Source organism: Homo sapiens, chromosome 7 (genome assembly GCF_000001405.40).
Source record: "Homo sapiens chromosome 7, GRCh38.p14 Primary Assembly".
In the NCBI taxonomy this organism is placed as follows: domain Eukaryota; kingdom Metazoa; phylum Chordata; class Mammalia; order Primates; family Hominidae; genus Homo; species Homo sapiens.
In genome coordinates, this window is record NC_000007.14 from 120,726,411 (window position 1) to 120,747,393 (window position 20,983).

Genomic DNA, 20,983 nt, shown 5'->3' on the forward strand with positions numbered 1-20,983 from the left:
AAGCTGATGGCAGAAAATCCATGAATAACATAGATACTCAGACCCTAAGGGGTAGAATTACTAGTTACAAAGTGATCCAGCTTCCAGGTCAGAAGAAATTGTTTCTTAGACCTCTCAGACTAACACTCTGGTCAAAGAGAAAAATTCAGTGGATAGGTCAATAATTTAAACGCACATAGACGTACACACATAATCAACTAACGGCTTTCACCGGGGCATTATACACATTACTTACTTTCATCTAACTTTTTAAAGGATACCTGCTTTTCAAATACTTACACTCCAAATACTGATTCATGTCCCATGTGAGTTTCTTTTAATTATTGTAGTAGTTGAAATGCAGCATTTTTTTGAACCAGCAACTGCCCTATACAATGTACAGAATGCTCCTGAACTTCTGTGCACCTGCACAGGATCTGTTCATTCATTCTATTCCTTATACCTAGTAATTCACAATTTTTCCTTGTAAAAAATGAAAAAGATAATGTGAGAGATTGAGTTACAGTAAGCATCAAGGTTTATTTTAAAATCAGAATTTTCTTCCTGTTGTACAAGGATCTCTTCTATCTTCATGATTATTTATCAATTACATGACTTTTGTTTTATCTTTTAGTGTGTGTGGGACATACTTTCAGAGATGGAAAGTCACGCATTAGCTAGGGAGATTTGCCTCATATAACATTTGTACTCTATCAAATGAACATACATTTATACCCATCAAATAAAAAGAGAAAAAATAGAAACTATATGAATAGGACTAGGAAGCTAACAGTATTGTTTGAAGATGGTGTAAGAAAATTCAAGGAAATATTTCTCCATTTGAGATATAAAGACAGCCACATCATGCAACTTCTGAACTAGTCATGCAACTTCTGAAGAAATACTAAACAGGGAAATATTTAGTAAGGTGTCAATAACATTTGGTTTACAATGAATTATGTTTTAAAATTATGCATATTTTCAACCTATCAATATTACTTGATAAATAGGAAGATGGATAGATGGATGAATGGATGCATTGTCTGCCTGAATTAATCAGATTTCATGAGATTTAGTATTAAGTAGAGTGCATGCCAGAATTCAAGAACTTTGCATGAAAATTTTTGATAATATTTGAGACAAATCTTTAATAGCCAAAACTTAAATCTCTTCTGAGGAATTGGTCTTCCACCCAAAATAATCTTCAATATTTGGCAAAATATAAAATTTTAGCCAGTATTTTTGGGAAGTACGCAAATTTAGAATTAACATTTTTATGCAAAAGGCACTTCCATGTTGTACCTTTTTAACCGATATGAGGAAGAAAGGGAGCCATAAACATGAGGTCTGGCAGATGTCCAGGGTGAAAAAGGAGCAGAAGGAAACTGGTGGCTCTACTGACATAGTAAATATAGGAGAAAGAAGGAAAACTTAGAAGCAGGGGAGAGTAGAAAGAGTATGGGGGGCCGGGCACGGTGGCTCACGCTTGTAATCCCAGCACTTTGGGAGGCTGAGGACGGTGGATCACAAAGTCAGGAGATCAAGACCATCCTGGCCAACATGGTGAAACCCCTTCTCTACTAAAAATACAAAAATTAGCTGGGTGTGGTGGCATGTGCCTGTAATCCCAGCTACTCAGAAGGCTGAGGCACGAGAATCGCTTGAACCCAGGAGGCAGAGGTTGCAGTGAGCCGAGATGGCACCACTGCACTCCAGCCTGGCAACAGAGGGAGATTCCGTCTCAAAAAAAAAAAAAAAAGAAAGAAAGAAAAAAGAAAAGAAAAGAGTATAGGGAAAAGTTTCCTTTCAATTAACGATGTTCAAGTTGCTGTGTTATCTAAAATATTTGATAGTTATTCTCTCATGATATATTCTCTTGTTTCGTTCTTCTTCTTTTTTTTTTTTTTTTTAAAAATTTTGAGATGGAGTCTCGCTCTTGTTGCCCAGGCTGGAGTGCAATGGCGCCATCTCGGCTCACTGCAACCTCTGCCTCCTGGGTTCAAGAGATTCTCCTGCCTCAGCCTCCCAAGTAGCTGAGACTGCAGGCATGTGCCACCACACCCGGCTAACATTGTATCTGTAGTAGAGATGGGGTTTCTCCATGTTGGTCAGGCTGGTCTTGAACTCCTGACTCAGATGATCCACCAGCCTCTGCTTCCCAAAGTGCTGGGATTACAGCCGTGAACCATTACACCCAGCCTCCTTCTTATGTTTTTGCGAATTCATTCTTTATTTTCTTAGGCTTTAGGGGCTTCTTGTAGTCTTTTAATCAATCTTATTAAATACAGAAAAAATATATATATGAATATAAACCCCACATTATGTCATGTTTTGGTGTAACTTTTTTTGGGAAATGATTTTTCAACGACTGAGTACATAATATAAAATTCTAAAGAAAAACAGAAAGAATGAAATAAATAATCCTACTGGGCTTAGCATAAATTTACAAATAAGGAGTCAGGAAAAATGAGATATATTTTTTTATATTGAATATAAATAATAAAGTACCAACAGGAAACCAAGTTGCCTAGGATATAAATAATCATTAAAAGGTGGCAGTATTTTAGAAACACTTAAACTTTCAATGATCATTTCACCACGGTGTCACTTCTCAATATAAGCTTTCTATTCTAAGCCTTTCCTCCACGGAATTTCAGAGAGATGTGATTCCTGAGGTGTATAATGCTGTTTTGCTTCTTGCTGTGAGTTTGAATACTAGTTAGAAGATCTTTTGTTAAACAAAGAAAAGCAGCTGGTTTTGCCAGTGAGATATATCCCATCCCTAGCAGATTCTGTGCTCAATTACAAGTTGCAGATAAAAATTACCCATTTCCATTTCTCCAGGTCACTACTAAATGAGAAGAGAGACAAAATGAGTAATGTAAAAACAGACATGAATCATACTATATTTTTTGCTCTTCTCCAACATATTCGAATAGTGAGATATGCTTAAAATATTACAAATATCAACAGCAGTCAACTTTAAACTGATAAAGGGAGCAGGGAGAAGGATAGAAAGAGTAATGTAAATTGTACCAAGGAGTATGAGGAAGAAGGCAGCTGGTGTTCCATGGGAACCAGCCAAGGGCTCAGGCTGTCCTTACATGAGAAATTGCAGGACAGCCTGGACTGTCTTAGCACCCCTGCCTGTTCTACTTCCTTGTATTCTCTTACCATCTCCTCTGCTTTCTCTCACAACAGCAGAGCCTTGGAGACCATCCTAACTGGCTATAACATGGGGAAACTCTGTGTCTCTACCCAAGAGCATAAACGTGAGAGAAGATGTTCCCACTGATGAACACTTTGTGCCCCCTTCCTCTTCTCACCATAATCATTGCAGTCCTGCCCAGTCCTTGCAAATACTCACCTGTGTTTTCTCAGTTGTGAAGGAATGTTGGATTATAAAACAAAGAGATGGTAGAGCTAAAAAATAAATATTTTATTTGGTGTAGATTAGCCTAGCTTTATGACACGAAGCTTATGTATCTGCAACCTCTTTTACCTTATGAATCCTTCTAGACTGTGAATTTGCTGCCTTTCAATAAACTGGTGTATCTCCTTACTTTTCGTAATTTTCTCTAATAATTGCAAGTATGCTGAGCTTGCCTATCCTATGACATAGTGATCCTAGAATACAAAAAGTAAACAGTAAATAATGATTTTTAAAAATCTTTCAAGGGCAAGAGAAACTATATGATGGATTCACTTAGCTAGTTTATATATTTATATTTTAAAAGGCTTATTTTAATTACATGGACTCAGTCCTTGTATTCTTTAGCCATAATAAATAATTGAGTTTTTATTAAAAATCAAATCCCTTTTTTAAAAGCCGTGTGTGTGTGTGCGCGCGTGCGTGTGTGTGTCTGTGTATGTACCTTCTCTGGGGCTTACTGCATAATCAGTGTGAAGGGGAAAAACATTGTGTATAAAATATGACTGGACATTCAATGTGAACTGTGACAGATACATAATTTGGCTCATATGTACACAGCATTGTATAAAAAGGAGTTGACCTTCCAATCCCACTGACATACCTCTACAGTAAGAATATCCCCAAGACTTTTGAAAATCATCTTCTAAATTCCTTTAGCTTTCACTGTTTCTTCACTAACATAACCTTTAGATTATAATTTAGCTTCCCAGATAGAAGGAGATCGTGTTTTATATGAACACAGCATTCTGGTTCTTAGGTTATTATTTTTGTACTATAAATTAATACTGTTATTCTGGTGCCAAAGCCTTGTGGGAACTTCAGCTATGTTAAATTAGCTCAACTACTGATCACCCACAAACACCAACAGGAATGAGTACCTGGATCTTCAAATCAAAGGACCAGAGCTCAGAATAGGGTCACTAAATGTGGCACTAGATAGTATCACCTTCTGTCTCTCTCAACAGTTTTTCTTCAGCCAATTCCTCTCCATCTCCATATTGACACACATATGTTTTCCCACAAAACAATGTTAGAGTGACTATTGCCTAGGCTACCTCTCAAGATACAATATAACCCCAAGTCCTCCTAAACTCCCTTGAGCATGGATTCTAGTATGTGAGTTCCTTTGATCCCTGTCTCTCAGGACTACACTCTCTGAGCATTGAGCTCTCCAAAGCCCCAGAGTAAGCATGGAGTAGTTGGAGCTCAGACACAGCTGGGTAACTTCGGCAATAGTAAGATGGAAAGAACTCCTCCTTGTCCCCCGCCCCAGGAGTGCACTCTAGACAAAGTCTCCATCAGTAAAGAAGAGAAAGTGTACTCATTCAACTAATATGTAGTAGGAGCTGGCCTTATGCTCACGAAACACAAAGTAGAACTGCTCCTGCTTTAGCAATTTTACATTCTAATGTCAGTAGGGTGGATGAGGAGTGAAAAAATAAATCAATAAATAAGAAAATGTTACTTGTTAATAAGTACTCTGAAGACAGTCAAATGAGGAAATGTTACAGAGAATGAATAGGAAAGAGAATAAGACTACTGTGAATTAGGTGGCCAGAAAATCACTTGGATGGAGACATTTAAATGGCACCCTGAATAATCACCATCTGGGGGCTGCACACAAAACAGAAGGCCAGATGGCCAGTGTGGCCAGAGGCCAGTGAGCTTGGTGAAAGGTGGTGTAAAATACAGGCAGGAACTAAATGAGGTAGGCCCTTGGAGGCAAAACTGAGGAGTTTGGATTTATTTCAGTTTCAAGTCCATGTCAGGGTTTAAGCAACATAGCAGTAGTCCAATCTCCATTTTTAAAACCAAAGTTCTGGCTGCTATGTTGGCATGAATTGTAAAGTGCTAAATGTAGAAAGGAGAGTCAGGTAAGAAGCTATATCTATGGCTCTGGCAAGAAATGACCACGGTTTGGTTTATTGTCATAAAGAGACTTGAATGGGATACAATTTGGTTTGCACAGAGACAACAAGACCAGCTAAGAGATGAAACGTTGATACTGGCAATTAAGGCGATGGCTCTTCCAATTTTGGTATGAACAACTGCATGGTGGTGATTATGTTTAATTATAAGTGGCAGAATTGTGGGGGGAAAATATTTGAGAGAGGAAGAGGAAGCTAGGGAAATGAGAGTTCCATTTTGGTTAATTTAAATTTTAATGGGCTCTTAGGCATCCAGGGGTAGAAATAATCAGACCAGACCACTCAAGATATGAATCTGATTTTCAGGAGAGACATCATGGCTGTCAATATAAATCAAGAGCATCAGCTGCATAGAGATAGTTTTAAGCTATGAGATTGGACAAAGTCACATAGGAAGTGGGTTTATATGGAGAAGATAAGAGGACGGAAGACTGAGACCTAAAGTACTCTAAGGTTTAGAAATCAGATAAGGGGAAAGGAGGCAGAAAAAAAGATGGAGAAGTGGTAGCCAATGAGATAGGAGGGAAAATAAGAATATTTTCTAATACTAAAGCCAAGAATAAAAGGAGTCTTTCAAGGAGAGAATAGTCAACTAATAAGCTACAAATGAGAGATTGAGTTAGATTTTTATGGAGAAATGGCCATTAGATTTCACAAGTGAAGGTTAATGGGGACCTTGAAAAGTTTATTTTTTAAATGATGACATCTGGTGAAAGGAATGTGATGTGCTACTTTTTCTACTTAAATTTCATAACCAATTGAATGTTGAAAAAACTAAGTGGAAAATTGTGTTATCCAGACTCTAAATTTCAGCATAGAATTATTGAGTATTAAATAAATGTAAAGAACTGTGTCATGGCATATAAAGGAAAAATTGAAGAGCTATCATTACATCATCTGACTTAAAATATTTTCCAATCAAAAAGATTACTTAATGTTAGAATCACTTTCTATAAGGTTGAAAGGTAATTTTTATATTCAGATATTTATAATTTCTGACATTAAAGTCTGAAGCCATATATATTATAGTCACAAAGTAGAAATAGATATGTCCAAAAAATCATTTGACTTAAAGGAAAAAATTCTTAGTTTCAGGTAGAAATGTCTTTCTGTGACTTAAAACAATATATATATATTTTTTCTTTAACTCAGGTATGGTGACATGGTGCCAAAAACCATAGCAGGGAAGATTTTTGGTTCTATCTGTTCGCTGAGTGGGGTCTTGGTCATTGCTCTACCTGTTCCGGTGATTGTATCCAACTTCAGTCGCATCTACCACCAGAATCAACGAGCAGACAAACGAAGGGCACAAAAGGTGCGTATTCAACTCCGTGCAACCATGGTTTAGCACTTCCCACTTTTTATAATGAGCTTTAAAATTTCTTAATGGTTATTCAGTGCTCTGGATTGGTCAGTAGTTGCATCAATCAGGACCGAGTAGGTTATTCTACACTAAAAAGAAACGTAACATCTCAGTGGCTTAAAACAATAAGCAATATTTCTGAATCATGCTACAAGTCCATTACTTGTCCAGAGAATAGAGAGTCCATCTTGACAGTGTACTTCTGCAGTCACTCCAGCAGGAGTAAAGGGCATGATGAATCACACACTGCTTCCTAATGTCCCTCCTGGAAGTGGTTTGAGTCACTTTCTTGTCTATTGCATTAACCAAAGCAAATCACACAGCAATGTCTAATTTCAAAGTGGGCAGGAAAATACAATTCTACTGTGGGGCCAGAAGCAGAAAATAAGAAATATTTGACGAACAGCACTAATGACAGTAGCAAAATCAGAAACAGATTCTTGGCAAATTTTATTAAAATCAGATTTCTAGATCTGATTCATTGAGTCTCTATCTATCAAGGGTCAAACTGGTTCCAGTAGACGAGGGTTATTAAAGGTCACCAAGATGTGTCTCAGATATTTTACATAGTTGACACAAGAAGTAATCTGATCATCTGTAGCTGAATTTTATTCTCGTCCCAGCAGCTTACCGTTTGTTTGAACTTCATGCCAGGTAATTAATCCCTCTAAGAATAAGCATAGCGTACACTCAACTGTAAAATGGGGAAAATAATAAATAATAAGATTAAGATTATATACAAGTATATGTAAATTTATATAAACACATCATATTATCAATATTTAATGTTTACTGATGGTTTATATGTGTCAGACATTAGCCTAATGTTTTTCACAAAAGAATTCATATGTTAAAAGACAAACCTTAGCCAAATTAAATTGAAAAGTTTAATTGAGCAAAGAACAACTCATGAATTGGGCAGCCTTTGAAGCCAGAGTAAGCTCAGAAACTCCAGCACAGCCGCATGGTAGAAAAAGATTTACAGGCAGTAAAAGGAAAGTGACATACAGAAAACAAAAGTGAGGTACAGAAACAATTGTACTGATTATAGCTCAGCGTTTGCCTTATTTGAACACAGTTTGAACAGTTGGCCCCCTTTGATTGGCCAAAACTCAGCGGTTGGCACAAGAGTGGGTTACAGTCTGTTTACTCCTCCATGTAAGTTACAGTTCACTATGCATAGAGAAACCTTTAGGCTAAACTTAAAATATGTAAGGAGGCAACTTTAGGCTAAACTTGAGTCAACACATACAACCTTCACAAAAACTCTGGCGTTAGTTACCATTATTATCCTCATTTTTATAGATGGTAATCCTCAAGTACCCCCAAATTAAGCAATTGTAAAGTCACATACCTGTTAAGTTGGAGATCCACCATTCCATCCAAGCCATTCTGGCTCCCAGGTTCATATACACAAACACTATGATAAAGTGCCTCTCAGAAAAGCTATGTAAATGTTAGCATACTTCCCTTCCCCAATCTTTGTCAAAATAGTCACCTTGAGAGGCAGGGCCCTTGTTGCTTAGAAATAATCTTGGAAATCTCTTTTGTAGTTTCCTTTGGACTTATGGCACTGTATTTCCAGTGTTCTTCATGGTCATTATATCTTTGTCCTTTAAGGATAGTTTCATTTTTTAAAAAATATCCAAAACCATTCATAATCATGACTAAAGTAGATGCACAACCTAGGTGATGTGTTATAACTACAAAATATCATGAGAGACTTTGATATAGTTATTCACTGGCTTTGTAGGTAATTCCAGAACGGGATCTTAAGCACGCATATGAACAATGTCAGCCTCTTAAGTAAAGTATACAATCTCATAAAGTAAGTCTTTGGAAAGTTCTAGTTAATCACTGTGGCCACACAGCATATTTGTCCAGAGAACTAATTTATGCCCACTGTCAAAGATCTTCTTCCTTTAGCAAAGAATCACTTTTTCAAGCTCTGTAGTTACTTGCTTTATGGAACCCTTCATTTTTGGACAAATGCCTAGCCTTTAATTATTACAGAGAAGAGTTAGAAATAGTCCAGTCAACATGGATATAGAGAACTGATCATCTAACGAATAGGGAGGAGTAGAAAAAGGCACCCTCTGGACAGTTGTAGTCTTATGTAGGGAATACATACCCTTGGCAAGCAGAGGTAAAGGGATTTCAGCCACAACTGACCCCACCACCAGGGACCTTCAAACATCACACTCATGACGCTGCCCATACAGTACAGTCCCTCTACTGAGTACAAACACACATTGTCTAAAATAACAGGATCCTACCAAAAGTTTAACTTTCAACCACCCATCTATCTCCATTCTAGACATTTCTCCTTTAGTATAAGAGCCAACTGTATGAAAACTATAGAAAGCACAAATCTAAATTTCCGATAAACCAATTTCCCAAACACTTGTATTTCTTCAGAGTTTGTCATCTGCAACAAAGAAATCAATAAAGAAAACCTTAGAATATTTTAGAAGCCTTTTGGTCTACTAAATATTAAATACTAAAATACATTTAGAAATCAAAAGTAAATAATGTGACATTCTAAAAGTACACTAATTGAAAAGTATATTTTGTGAATGCTTTTTGGTATCTTTAAATATTTGCTATATTTTTGGTTTCTGCCATAATGCAATGAATTTTACAGAGTTTTACTACTGAAAAAATTGGATTAATAAAGTAAAATATAATAACCAAGTATAATATGTCCAGTATGTAGACTGTGACCAATAAACTGAACATAATCTTCTAAGAAAGAACAGTGGATATGAACTAAATAAGTTACCAGGGGATATTTTCTATTTTCCTTCCCAAGAGATTAGGGGGAAAAAAAAGCAGAACAAACGCCCATTAGGCTAAGACAGTTTATTTATCTGGGACTGGGCTATGTGCCAAATATTAAAGTTATGCAAAAATGACCAGCTAATTCAGTCAAGCAAGCATTCAATTCAGTAAAAACGTCAGTCCAACTGACTAATAAAAGTAATATTACAAAATGGTTTGTTAGACCATATTTTTGGTGTTTAATTCAATTGCCACACTAAGACCAAGCAAAAGCATGAAATAGACACAATATTAATTTTAGAAAATTCCTATCATCACTATCAGAAATACTTTCCTTCTTCTAGTTTCTTCCATTTGCAAGTACTCTTCCTACTTTTGCTGTCCACTCCTGCCATATACAGGGAATACATGGTTTACCCCATTTCTATCAATCATTGATAAAGTCTTAACTAAATACTGACATGCTGGTGGGTATAGGCCTAAACTGTGACACCTCTCCTCTACTCCCACCATTGGTAATTATATTTTAATAGATTTATTGATTCTCGTAGTTATACTATAAGTATTTACTGAGTAGAATGTATTAGCCAAAATAAAGCTAGATTAATGCAATGACAAGTGGCAGGTTGACATTTTGAAGCAGCTCTTTTAATATATGGATCACATCACCTAATCATCTGCATACTCACAGGCTAACCTGTGAGTAATTATCATATAATAATCATAGTAGTAATTATAGTTATAATTTAATAATACTAATTGCAACAACAAAAACCCTCACTAGTTTCTAGAATGTCCCAGGTGTTTTATATCTGTTTTTTTTGTAATATTCACAATCAACTTGCAAAGGAAGTATACTATTTCCATTTTACAGATAACTTGCTCATGCTCACAAACCTAGTGATTAAAGTCCAAGGCAAAAAAATTCTAGTATTATTTGAACTATGAATATTTTAGGATATTCCTATAGATAATTCTAAATGCAGTGAGAAGTTTAGAATCAATGAGCCAATGTATAGTGTAATATTTTTAAATTTCACATTGACTTAGAAAGACACTACCCATATGTAGTCTGCCATTTATCACACCCTGCTAGGGTGGTTTTCAAACTTTAGATTCATTAGAATCATCTGGAAAGCTTACACACACACACACACACACACACACACACACACACACACAAACAAAAAAAAAAAAAACAAAACAAAAAACAGATTGTTGAGCCCTACTCCCAAATCATCAGACTCTGTAGTTTTGGGTTAGAACCTGAAATTTTGCTAATAAATTCCCAGGTGATGCTGATATTGCTGTTTGGAAGACCACATTTTGAGAACCACTGCCTAGTACATTCAGCAATGTCAAAATCAAAGATTTTTATTTAAGTAGAATAATGAAAAAGCAAGAAATAACTACTTGCTAGAACCTGAGAATGATCTCTTAGGTTATCTACTGTTAAAAACAAAATTACCCAGCTCCTAATTCCACCTAAGAATTTGGTCTTGGATGCTCTCCTATATCCTCTTTCAGTTCTCACCGCTTCCACCATGGAATCCTCTTGTAGACCTCTCATTGCTTAGCCTCTTCCACTAACCCAAATCCCAGCCCTTTTTCTGCTTAGCCCTGCCATCTCCAGGATTAACCAAGTTCTGGACCTAGGAATGTTGCACTGTCTGCCACTGACTTCTTTCTTCTCTTTTTATTGTAGTTTGGTACTAACTTGTCTCATTTCTAGCACAGCTATTTTTCTTAGCAAGTGAAAAGATTCCAATAAATGCCTTAAACTTCTAAAAGGTGATAAAGTTTACTATGTTACCTCAAACTGAGGCATTTTACTAACCCTTAAATGAAAGAAACAACTGTAAGCAAAATTTCCAGAATGCATGTTACAGGGAGTGTGGAGGCAGGCATTTGAGGAATAAGGAATTACCAAAGAGAAACACCTTCATTACCTCACTTTTAAGGCTACCTAGGATACCTTTATTTTTCAAAAGATTTTGTGATTTGGTAACAAGATGGCCCAATAACTTCCTTTAATCTACCTCATACCTCATCTAGAAATGACTGACCATTTAAAGAAATCAATGTCTCAGTGGTGTTTGGCTTATAGATCCTTCTCAGATTGACTTCCACCCTCTGTTCCACAACATAAACTATAAAGTTTATGTCACTTGGCGTAATTAAAAAACAATCTACTTGATAAAACCCATTGTGTTCCACTGCATTCTAGCCTGTGAGTACTTCACAATACAAGATTTCTATGTCAAATTAGTTTGAGGAAATTTGCAGATTATATATCCCTGTTCTTCTCACAGTGATCATCCACAATGTCATATGGTGTGAGGAACCCGGGAGCAAAGGAACCTGTTTAACACCTCAGCATTTCCCAGCCTTTTCTTGACCACAGAACCAGTCATTTGCTTCATCTGTTTGATTTAGATTTTACTTACCACACTTACGAATTCCTTGGAACCAACTTTGAGAAATCCTGCTAAGATTAGATGATTGGACAAAAGCTGCAGCTATGAAGAATTGGGATGCATAGGAAGAATATGTTTATGAGACAGACAACTTTTTTCCAAATACCATCACCATTTAAGGCAAATAAATTATTTGAAAATAACTATGAAGCTTTTTTTACACTGAAAATGTAAACCTTGCTTTAATTAAAATTTAAGAAGTCTCCTACTTTTCATACAGCTAAAATAAAGTACTTACTGAAACTTTTCTCCAACTTCCATATTATTTGCTGGTACTTTGCCATGCCAGAAGTTGTATGTCCTAAAAGGGTCGGGGGTAAGAGACTGAAAGGAATACATTTCTTTTTACCAGCAGATGGCTTTCTTTTAACCTCCCAATTACATAATTGGTGCTGCCAAGATTGTCATACTGAGTGGCTCAGAAGTAAGATGATTTCCTAAAATATCTTTGTAAAATAATTTCCCTCAATTACCTGCTGTAATCACAAGTCATGAAGGCTAGCATTCAACAGGCATTTGTTGTGGTGCTCCGCAAGACCAATTAAACCAATTAACTCCTATGGAATTGTAGTCGGGTCAAAGAAAAGCCATGATTGAAATTTAGATGGGAAGTTCTTTTTCTAACACGCTGCATGACTTAGCAAAAATGGATAGTCTGTCTCTAAAGCAACTTCTTTTTCCCTAAGCTTAGAACTACTTCTGCAGTAGTGTTTGCCACCATATGTAGGCTTTCCATTATATGATGAGAAATATATGTCATTTTATTTTGCTGGACTGTATTTTTGGTTAATGTATATGTTTTCTTAATAAAAGAAAACAGTTTTACCCAATGCTGCTGCTGAATGCTTAGAGAATGAAGGGAGGGAGGGAGGAGTTGGGAGTCAGGAGTAGAAAGGCAATGAATGTTCCAGGAGACTAAAGAGACTTGAAGACTGAAATTTCAACAATAATCCCTTTTTGGAAACCAATATATAAATTGCTTATTTCTGAATTATTAAGCTAATTCTGAGTTGTTTCCAAATGTCCTTTTCACTTGCTACTGTTTCACTGAGTCTGGTCTGAAATCCTGAAACTGCAGCCCAGCTTTTGAAGTTAAAATTTTTCTACCTTCCAATTTCATTCTCTACTATTGTGTCAGTATTTTGAGTGATCTAAACATTATGTTTCCAACAAAGAATGAAATTTGTCTAATTTTCTCATCATTTATAAATATGGTCTTTGTACAAAGTATATTATTTTAACCTGGAATCAGCACACAGGAAGAATAAATTTAGGAAGGAAGGGAAGAGGGGTGGAGTTAAAGACATGATATCTTAATGCGATTTTGAGAGCTTCACACATCTCAGTGCTACTCTCAAATGATATGTGTGAAAGGCATCTTGGTACAATAACTTTGGAGGGAAATTTGGTAAGACTTAACAAAAGAAACACACACACACACACACACACACACACACACACGCACTCCCTTTGGTCCAGGAATAATTTTGCTTTCAGAAATATGTCTTGTAGATAAGCTCATCATCATATTCAAAGCAGGCAGCCTTGCTTATAGTTGCCAAAGATGCTTTAAAAATTAATTGGCAGTTGGCCTGGTAAATAAATAATTATTTGTTTATACCGTGGTATATTATACATTCATTAAAAATGAGGTGGATCTTTATATGCATATACGGAAAGAGTTCTGAGATGTAATTAAAAAACACAACTAAATGCAGAAGAGTGTGCAGAGTATTCTCTGGAGTAAAAATGTATGTGTATATACATGTGAATATATCTACTTGCTCTTTTATGCTCAGAAAATTTCTCACAGGATTCTCTAGAAATATTACCAGTGATTGTTTCTGAAGCCTAGGAGTGGGATGGCTCCAGGGTCAGAGACAATTGTTTGCATGCACTTCTGTAGTATTAAAAATTGTGTCATATGTTTATATTTATTTTTCATTTAAAAAATCTAGATAATTTTAAAATTTTTATTAAAAAGAGCATTCCAGGACTTGAGACTAAAGATAGTATTTTTCTAGGTTGTTTAGAAGGGAAAAAGAAGAAGTTTTGTGAGATAAGCCTACAGGAAACTTATCTAAGCCATCCCAGTCTCTGTTTTACATACACTTGCTAGCTACATGTAATACAAATAGAATGGTCACCAAAATAGTGCTGTCCAGGAAGGGAAAACGAGACTGTTTCCATGACGGTCTAAATGCACGTCAACAACAGCAGTTAGAAAGTAGAATGGAATATCAGAAATCTGGCTACACAGCCAGATCCTTAGTACTTTCACTTTAGGGATCTAACTGTAACTTAAAGGAACAATTGAACTGGCCACCTAAACCCTCTACATTGAAGGATATTCTCTACAGACACACACACACAAAATGCTTTAAAAATGAAAAACAATGTTTAAATCTCTCTGGATAGGCTTACTATGTTCTTCATTTCAGCCAGTTCAAGAGTGAAATACAAATCAGATGCACATACAGTCGTGCGGACCCGTGCCGGTAGACAAAGTAGATAAATTCACAGTTGTTTTTGTTTATTTGTTTGTTTGTTTGTTTGTTTGTTTAGAGAGAGAGTCCATGTTGTTTGGCATGGGATCTACCTAGGCTAATTTAAAGGATAATTGCAAAAATATAATTTTATATTGGAGGATGCAGATATAGATGAATAATGATTCTTAAAAAAAAAAAAAAAGAAAGGAAGGAAGGAAGGCAATCAGTTCTTGGTACTTAGTTACTAATTTTTTTAAGGACATTAGTTTAAACGAAAAGGAGTTGGCAGCTGGTTTCCTGAGCTACCGGTCTTCATTTCATTAAGTTACTCAGATCGGGATAAATGAAAATATAAGTAAAGTAATACTGCTATTTTTATTTTGACAGAATTGAAAGAAACAATAATGAAATAACTTGATCTTATTGTAAAGACTTAATTATAATTCTTAAAGGCATAAGCCAGCTCCAAGGTAGTTCATTGATTTTACTGATAAATATTAACTGAAATAAAGCACTTAAAAAGGTAGAGAGGTAATTTTCAATAGTTGCATTTGAAAAGCTGGCTTACTTTTAAAAATATGTAGGCTGACAATAGGATTATACAAGGGTTCATTCACTGTTTTAAGGAAACGATTTATAAATGTTAATGGGATGTTTATTTTTTCTCCTATAGAAAGCTAGACTGGCCAGGATCCGGGCAGCCAAAAGCGGAAGCGCAAATGCTTACATGCAGAGCAAACGGAATGGTTTACTCAGTAATCAGCTGCAGGTACAATCAATTACATCTCTTTTTTTAATGTTCAATTTCTTGGTTTAATATTGATTTAGTTCTACTTTCCTATAATTTTATTATGGCTAATTATGACAATGGCTATCCAAACAACAAAAGTGTGTTTGTTTGTGTTTTTTTAATAACTTCACCCTGTACATCCTTGTTGGCTGTAGAAGGTTAGAAACTTCACTATGAAATACTGCCAGTGAATCATGATGCCTATTCATCATTGGGCAATATTTCTACACTGTCTCTTATTAACATGGTAAAGGTAAAAAAAAATGCTTAATAATTCAAATGCCTAATTCTTTTTCATTTCAAATTTATCTTCCTTAACGTTCATTTGGGTCAGGGGTTGGGGTGGGTGGCTAACATGATGTCTTGTTTTACTTCATAACGAAGAGGGAATACTATTCAGTGTTAGGAAGATCATATGGCATAAACTACAATTTGAGAAAATTTATTTTTACTCCAGAATTTTCCTTTAATATTTAGGACTCCAATCTTTACTTACAAAATAGCTTTTATTTACGTGCACATGATCGTGGTTTCAAAATTTTCTAAGCACTATGCTAAATTTGATCATCAAAACATAACAGATTCCCATCTTACAAACATAGTTGCTAGTTGAATGAGTAAAAGAGATTTCAAATTTCAATTCAAGGAGGCATGTCTAAAAGACCAGACCATTCATTTGATGAAATTGTAAATGCCGATCATCCAACTTAACAGGAACTGCACATTTGTTCCTTTCTAGTTAGAAAAAAATAAAATGTTGCCAGTTAATAGAGCAGATCTCTCTGTGGAAATATGTAGCCGAGGTTCGAGTTGTTTGCAAATAAAATAGAAAGCTCTTCTGTCTTCTCTTTGTTAACAGTCCTCAGAGGATGAGCAGGCTTTTGTTAGCAAATCCGGCTCCAGCTTTGAAACCCAGCACCACCACCTGCTTCACTGCCTGGAAAAAACCACGGTAAGGAGACAGCATGACTGCCTTCCCTTGCTCTCTGACAGTAATTCCATTTGCTTTTGTGCATACTTAATGCTTCCGAGTGTGATTTCACTGTCTGCATTACTGGAAAACATGCTAAAAAACAAACAAACCAAAACCCCACAATATTTGAAATTACTTTGAAAGATGTAATGACATTTCAATTTGGAAAGTATTTTAGAAACTTATTTAAAATGTTTTATTCTTAGCTGCTGTCTTAACTCTAGTCTAAGAAGTCAGTTAATGCAGATGAAGAGTGGTCTTCCAATAGTAAATCCTACACAATATCATTTTCTGTGATTCTTAAAATGCGAATTAGACAGAAAAAAATTAATGGTGCTCGAGGGTCCCTAGCATCTAGATCAAGAGAATAGCAATAGCAATAACAAAAAACAGAGAACAATGGAATATAAGCATTTGTTTCATTCACAACCATAATGAATAGAGATAGATAATAGAAACTATTCTCATTAGAAAAATGACTCATGTAATCACTGGTATGCCCTTGGGTGCTAAGGAGTGAGTCTGTATTTCTCCACTTACAAGCTCTTGTTTGGACCTCCTCATTGGCAAATCTACCAATTTCTTAACCAGTTTGTAAATAGGAGTCATAATCTATGATAATCACAGAGCAGAACAAAATCTTCACCATATTTGGATCATGTCAGCTCACTCACTCTCGGGTGACACATGATTTGTATTCTCAGTTCCAAAGTATTGCCTGTTCATGTACTTATTTACCAATAGAGTCATTCAGCAAATATTTACTACTTGCCTATTATGTGCCCAAGAGTGAGCCAGACCCAAGAAACGCCATGAAATGAGGTGTGGCCTCTGCTACCATTTAGCCTCTGTTTATAAAACAAAATCCCAGACAGGGCTGTTACTGGAAAAGAGCAGCGAACATGGAAAGCAACAACGGTGCCACAGTCAAGAGAGTAAAGAGGGCAGAGCCATGAGGGGACAGGTCAGGCAAGGCTTCCTGGAGGAACTTGAGTGGAGACCTGCAGGGTGACTAGGAGTTAGCTAGGCAGAGCAATGAAGGGGCTAACAGGTGATACAAGTACCTGAAGAAGGAAAGAACTCAGCCTAGGAGGAAGTGAAATAATTTAAGAGTGGTCAGAAGAAGAGAGTGTAGCATGGCAAAAGAGGAGCTGAAGGGAAAGGCAGTGTCCAGATAATGTTAGGCTTTGCAGCCATGTGGACAATTTTGATCTTTAGTTCATGGAAATCATTTAAATGTTTTAAACAAGGTAGTAACATGATTATACTTGCATTTTTAAATAAAGATATGGACAGGTCTGTAACCTAGTAGGATAAATTTGAAAGTTAAATGATACATTAATAATAAAATGTTGGCCAGGCGCAGTGGCTCACGTCTGTAATCCCAGCACTTTGGAAGGCCAAGGTGGGCGGGTCAACTGAGGTCAGGAGTTCAAGTCCAGCCTGACCAACATGGTGAAACCTCGTCTCTACTAAAAATACAAAAAAATTAGCCAGACATGGTGGCGGGAGCCTGTATTCCCAGCTACTCGGGAGGCTGAGGCAGGAGAATTGCTTGAACCCAGGAGGCAGAGGTTGCAGTGAGCTAAGATAGTGTCACTGCACTCCAGCCTGGGCAAAAAGAGCTAGACTCTGTCTCAATAAATAAATAAATAAATAAAATATTTTTATTCCTATCTTTTCTGTTCCCTGTATTTTCCTTTTTTGAGGGCTTTTTTTAAAATCAAAAATCACTAACACCAACTAATATAAATTATGCTACCTACAAAAGTATGTAGTAACTAATAACAGAATGACTCCTGCACTTTCAATCACTGATGAGACAAATTAGAATCTCATGCATTATAACTTAGGTATGTGAAACCATGCATTGTAAGAGAAGGAAACAGATTGTGAATCTTTTGTGCACCATTTTTTCTTTGAAATTTAATATTTGAAATATTAATTTCAAATATTTCTTTGAAATTCTGTCTTGTCTGATTATATTATTCTCTAGACTTTAAAGAGTAGAATGTTAAATTTCATTTATTTCAAAATGCTTGTCTCAGCAAAGAAATGACAAAACGAGTAGCTAAAACATAATCTATTTCTTATTAGCCAGTGTCTTGCTTCAATTGTTTTACTCATATTTTAGGATGAGAGATGGTTAAGTGGAATTTGGTATGTGCAAAGCCTTCCATTATAAGACTATCCCCACCCATGCAAAGAAAAACAAAATAGTAATTGAGGTCATTCTCTAGTAGTTCAGACCAAAAATGTTTTCCTTTATATTTCTGAGGTGAAATTCTTCCATAGGCATTTCAGGAGGTTTTTTGTCAAACATTTTAAAAGCAAAATTGATACCATGTTTCTATAAAATACGATATGCGAAATGATGCCTATTGCTATTTGCTACTGGGCTGGAAGTTAGGAAATAGTGACGGAAAAACCCCAAATGCATACAGAGATCATGAGTACAGCCAGTGATGCCAGTGATGTATTACGAAGATTACAAAAAAGGCCACAAAAGTTCAATGCTAATCCCTTCTGGGTCGAACACAGAGTGACACATTCGGCAGACAATTATATTTTACTTATGTAACGAATAAGTCATATTTTTCTGTACTGGGCATTTTTAGAGGAACATATAAAGAAATGGATAGTGTCTTAGGGGTCTCATTTTCTAATTTAGAAATGTTTTCACTCCCATGTGAAAAGATTTGCTAATATATAACAGACAATCTAACTTGGGGCATCCTATTAAAATAATCTATTTTCCATAACTTCAACCTTTTTAAAAAATAAAGTCAGTGGGAATTTCTAATTTCCCTGTGGGTTTTATCTATATGCATTTTTTAGGTTTTTTTTTTCCTTATCATATACCTTCCAGATTTTATGTTTAAATAAATAAATGATATTTCAAGATAAAGTTAGTCTATAAAGGGACACTAAATCAGCCTACAGATGTCAATCTCTAGGTTTAACTACAGAGATAGTTCCACATAAATGCCAAAAAGAAGTGGTTTTGATGTCAATCTTTATGAAAATGGTTTTATTTAACCATTGTATCAAGTCTAACTATACTTGGGCAGATTTGAGCTTTAAAAATAAAGCTATGTATTTCGTTTTTAAAAATGTGCTTCTCTGTTTCTTCATTTACTTACAACTGTGGAACAGAATCACGAGTTTGTGGACGAACAAGTCTTTGAAGAAAGCTGCATGGAAGTTGCAACTGTTAATCGTCCTTCAAGTCACAGTCCTTCACTGTCTTCACAACAAGGAGTCACCAGCACCTGCTGTTCACGACGACACAAAAAAACTTTTCGCATCCCAAATGCCAATGTATCAGGAAGCCATCAAGGTAGTATACAAGAACTCAGCACGATTCAGATCAGATGTGTGGAGAGAACACCTCTGTCTAACAGGTACCTGAGATTAATCTGTGTTGTCTACACACCTGTGCTGGTTCCCAGGGTGTGTCTTCTGCACTCATGTTGTCACTTACATGGCATCTAAATCCCTAGCTCCTATGGTTCAGGAAGAGACAAAAATGGTAGCGTAACAAGTAGGAAAATGGTTCTGCTTGCATATCCATTAAGGGTTAAAAATAGTGGTTATATCAGTATTAAAAGAGTCGAAAGAAGAAGAGATGATTGAGTGCACACAAATGTGTTTTTCTCTCTTCTGTTCCACAACCTTTTCTTATTTGGGCAAGGACTTTTATACTCAGGAGTCTCTTATATATTCAATAGTCTGAAATGATGGTGGACACTACTAAAAGAGTCAAATGAAATTGAGATCAACATGGCTAAAAATTATTGAACAGCATGTAAAAATATACAAACACACTGTCTGTAACAGTAAAAATGAAAACTTTGCCTACATAAGTCATTTCTATCAATATATAATTTTGATCAGAAAGGTATTTTTGGCCATATCAAACACAAAATCAACATAATACAAAAAATAAGTGAAGTACTAAAATTGTTTGCCTCTGGTTAGTTTATGAACAAATTAAGTAAAACTTCCATATTGATATATTTCCTTTGCTTTTCCTTATTCACTGTTTTTACCACAAATGTGTAAAAATAAAAAGTTGTACATTTAAACAATATATGTCATTAAAAATCAGTTTCTGCCAAAATAATTTTATTCTGTTTTCAAATTGAACAGCATATATTGTTAGAGTGAGAGTCTGTAAATTCAGTCCTCTTCTTTGTTGGCATTCAGAAGTCTTTGTTGAAATCTGGATGAGATTCTGAATTCAGGTGATGTTGATTTACATAAATTGGATGTCTCTGGGACTAGAAAATTAAAATTAGGAGCCATAAGACTTCTATCTTCAAGATATTTTAGCTTTGCAGTTTTATATCCTTTATAAAGTGAAGTCGACAATGGAAAATTATCTAGCAAGAAAATCTTAGGACATAAACATCTTAATTATGTTTTCCATGAAAATAAAATAATCAGTTTCAAGCTTCTGTGTATATCCTTCTCTCTCATTTCCCTTTTATCCCCTTCCCCACATAGAGTATACAATTCATCCAATAATACCATTTGGGAGCTTGAAGTGTTAGATAGTAATAGATAATTTTTTTATTTCTGTAATATGTGATCATCATTAAGTTCAGAGGTTTGAGGGCATTATATATCCCAAAAAGACATGAAAATAAAAATATTCTGTGGTCAAAGGAATTAAGAAATCAATGTGATATGGCTCTTTCATAGTGGTTTCTCAAACCTCTCAGAGGTCTGTCTTAAATAAAACTTCTTTGCTCAGCCCAGGCTGTC

At 35.7% G+C, this 20,983-nt stretch overlaps 1 protein-coding gene across 2 annotated transcripts in view; it reads left to right on the forward strand.

Annotated features, from left to right (window-relative positions):
* KCND2 (potassium voltage-gated channel subfamily D member 2) overlaps positions 1-20,983 on the forward strand; it is a 477,430-nt gene that overhangs the window by 453,503 nt on the left and 2,944 nt on the right. For both annotated transcript variants that reach the window (XM_047420346.1, NM_012281.3), the window contains 4 exons: positions 6,493-6,655; positions 15,124-15,219; positions 16,100-16,192; positions 19,370-19,617. In XM_047420346.1, coding sequence (XP_047276302.1) covers positions 6,493-6,655; positions 15,124-15,219; positions 16,100-16,192; positions 19,370-19,617 — 600 coding nt within the window. The remainder of the gene's footprint in view (positions 1-6,492; positions 6,656-15,123; positions 15,220-16,099; positions 16,193-19,369; positions 19,618-20,983) is intronic.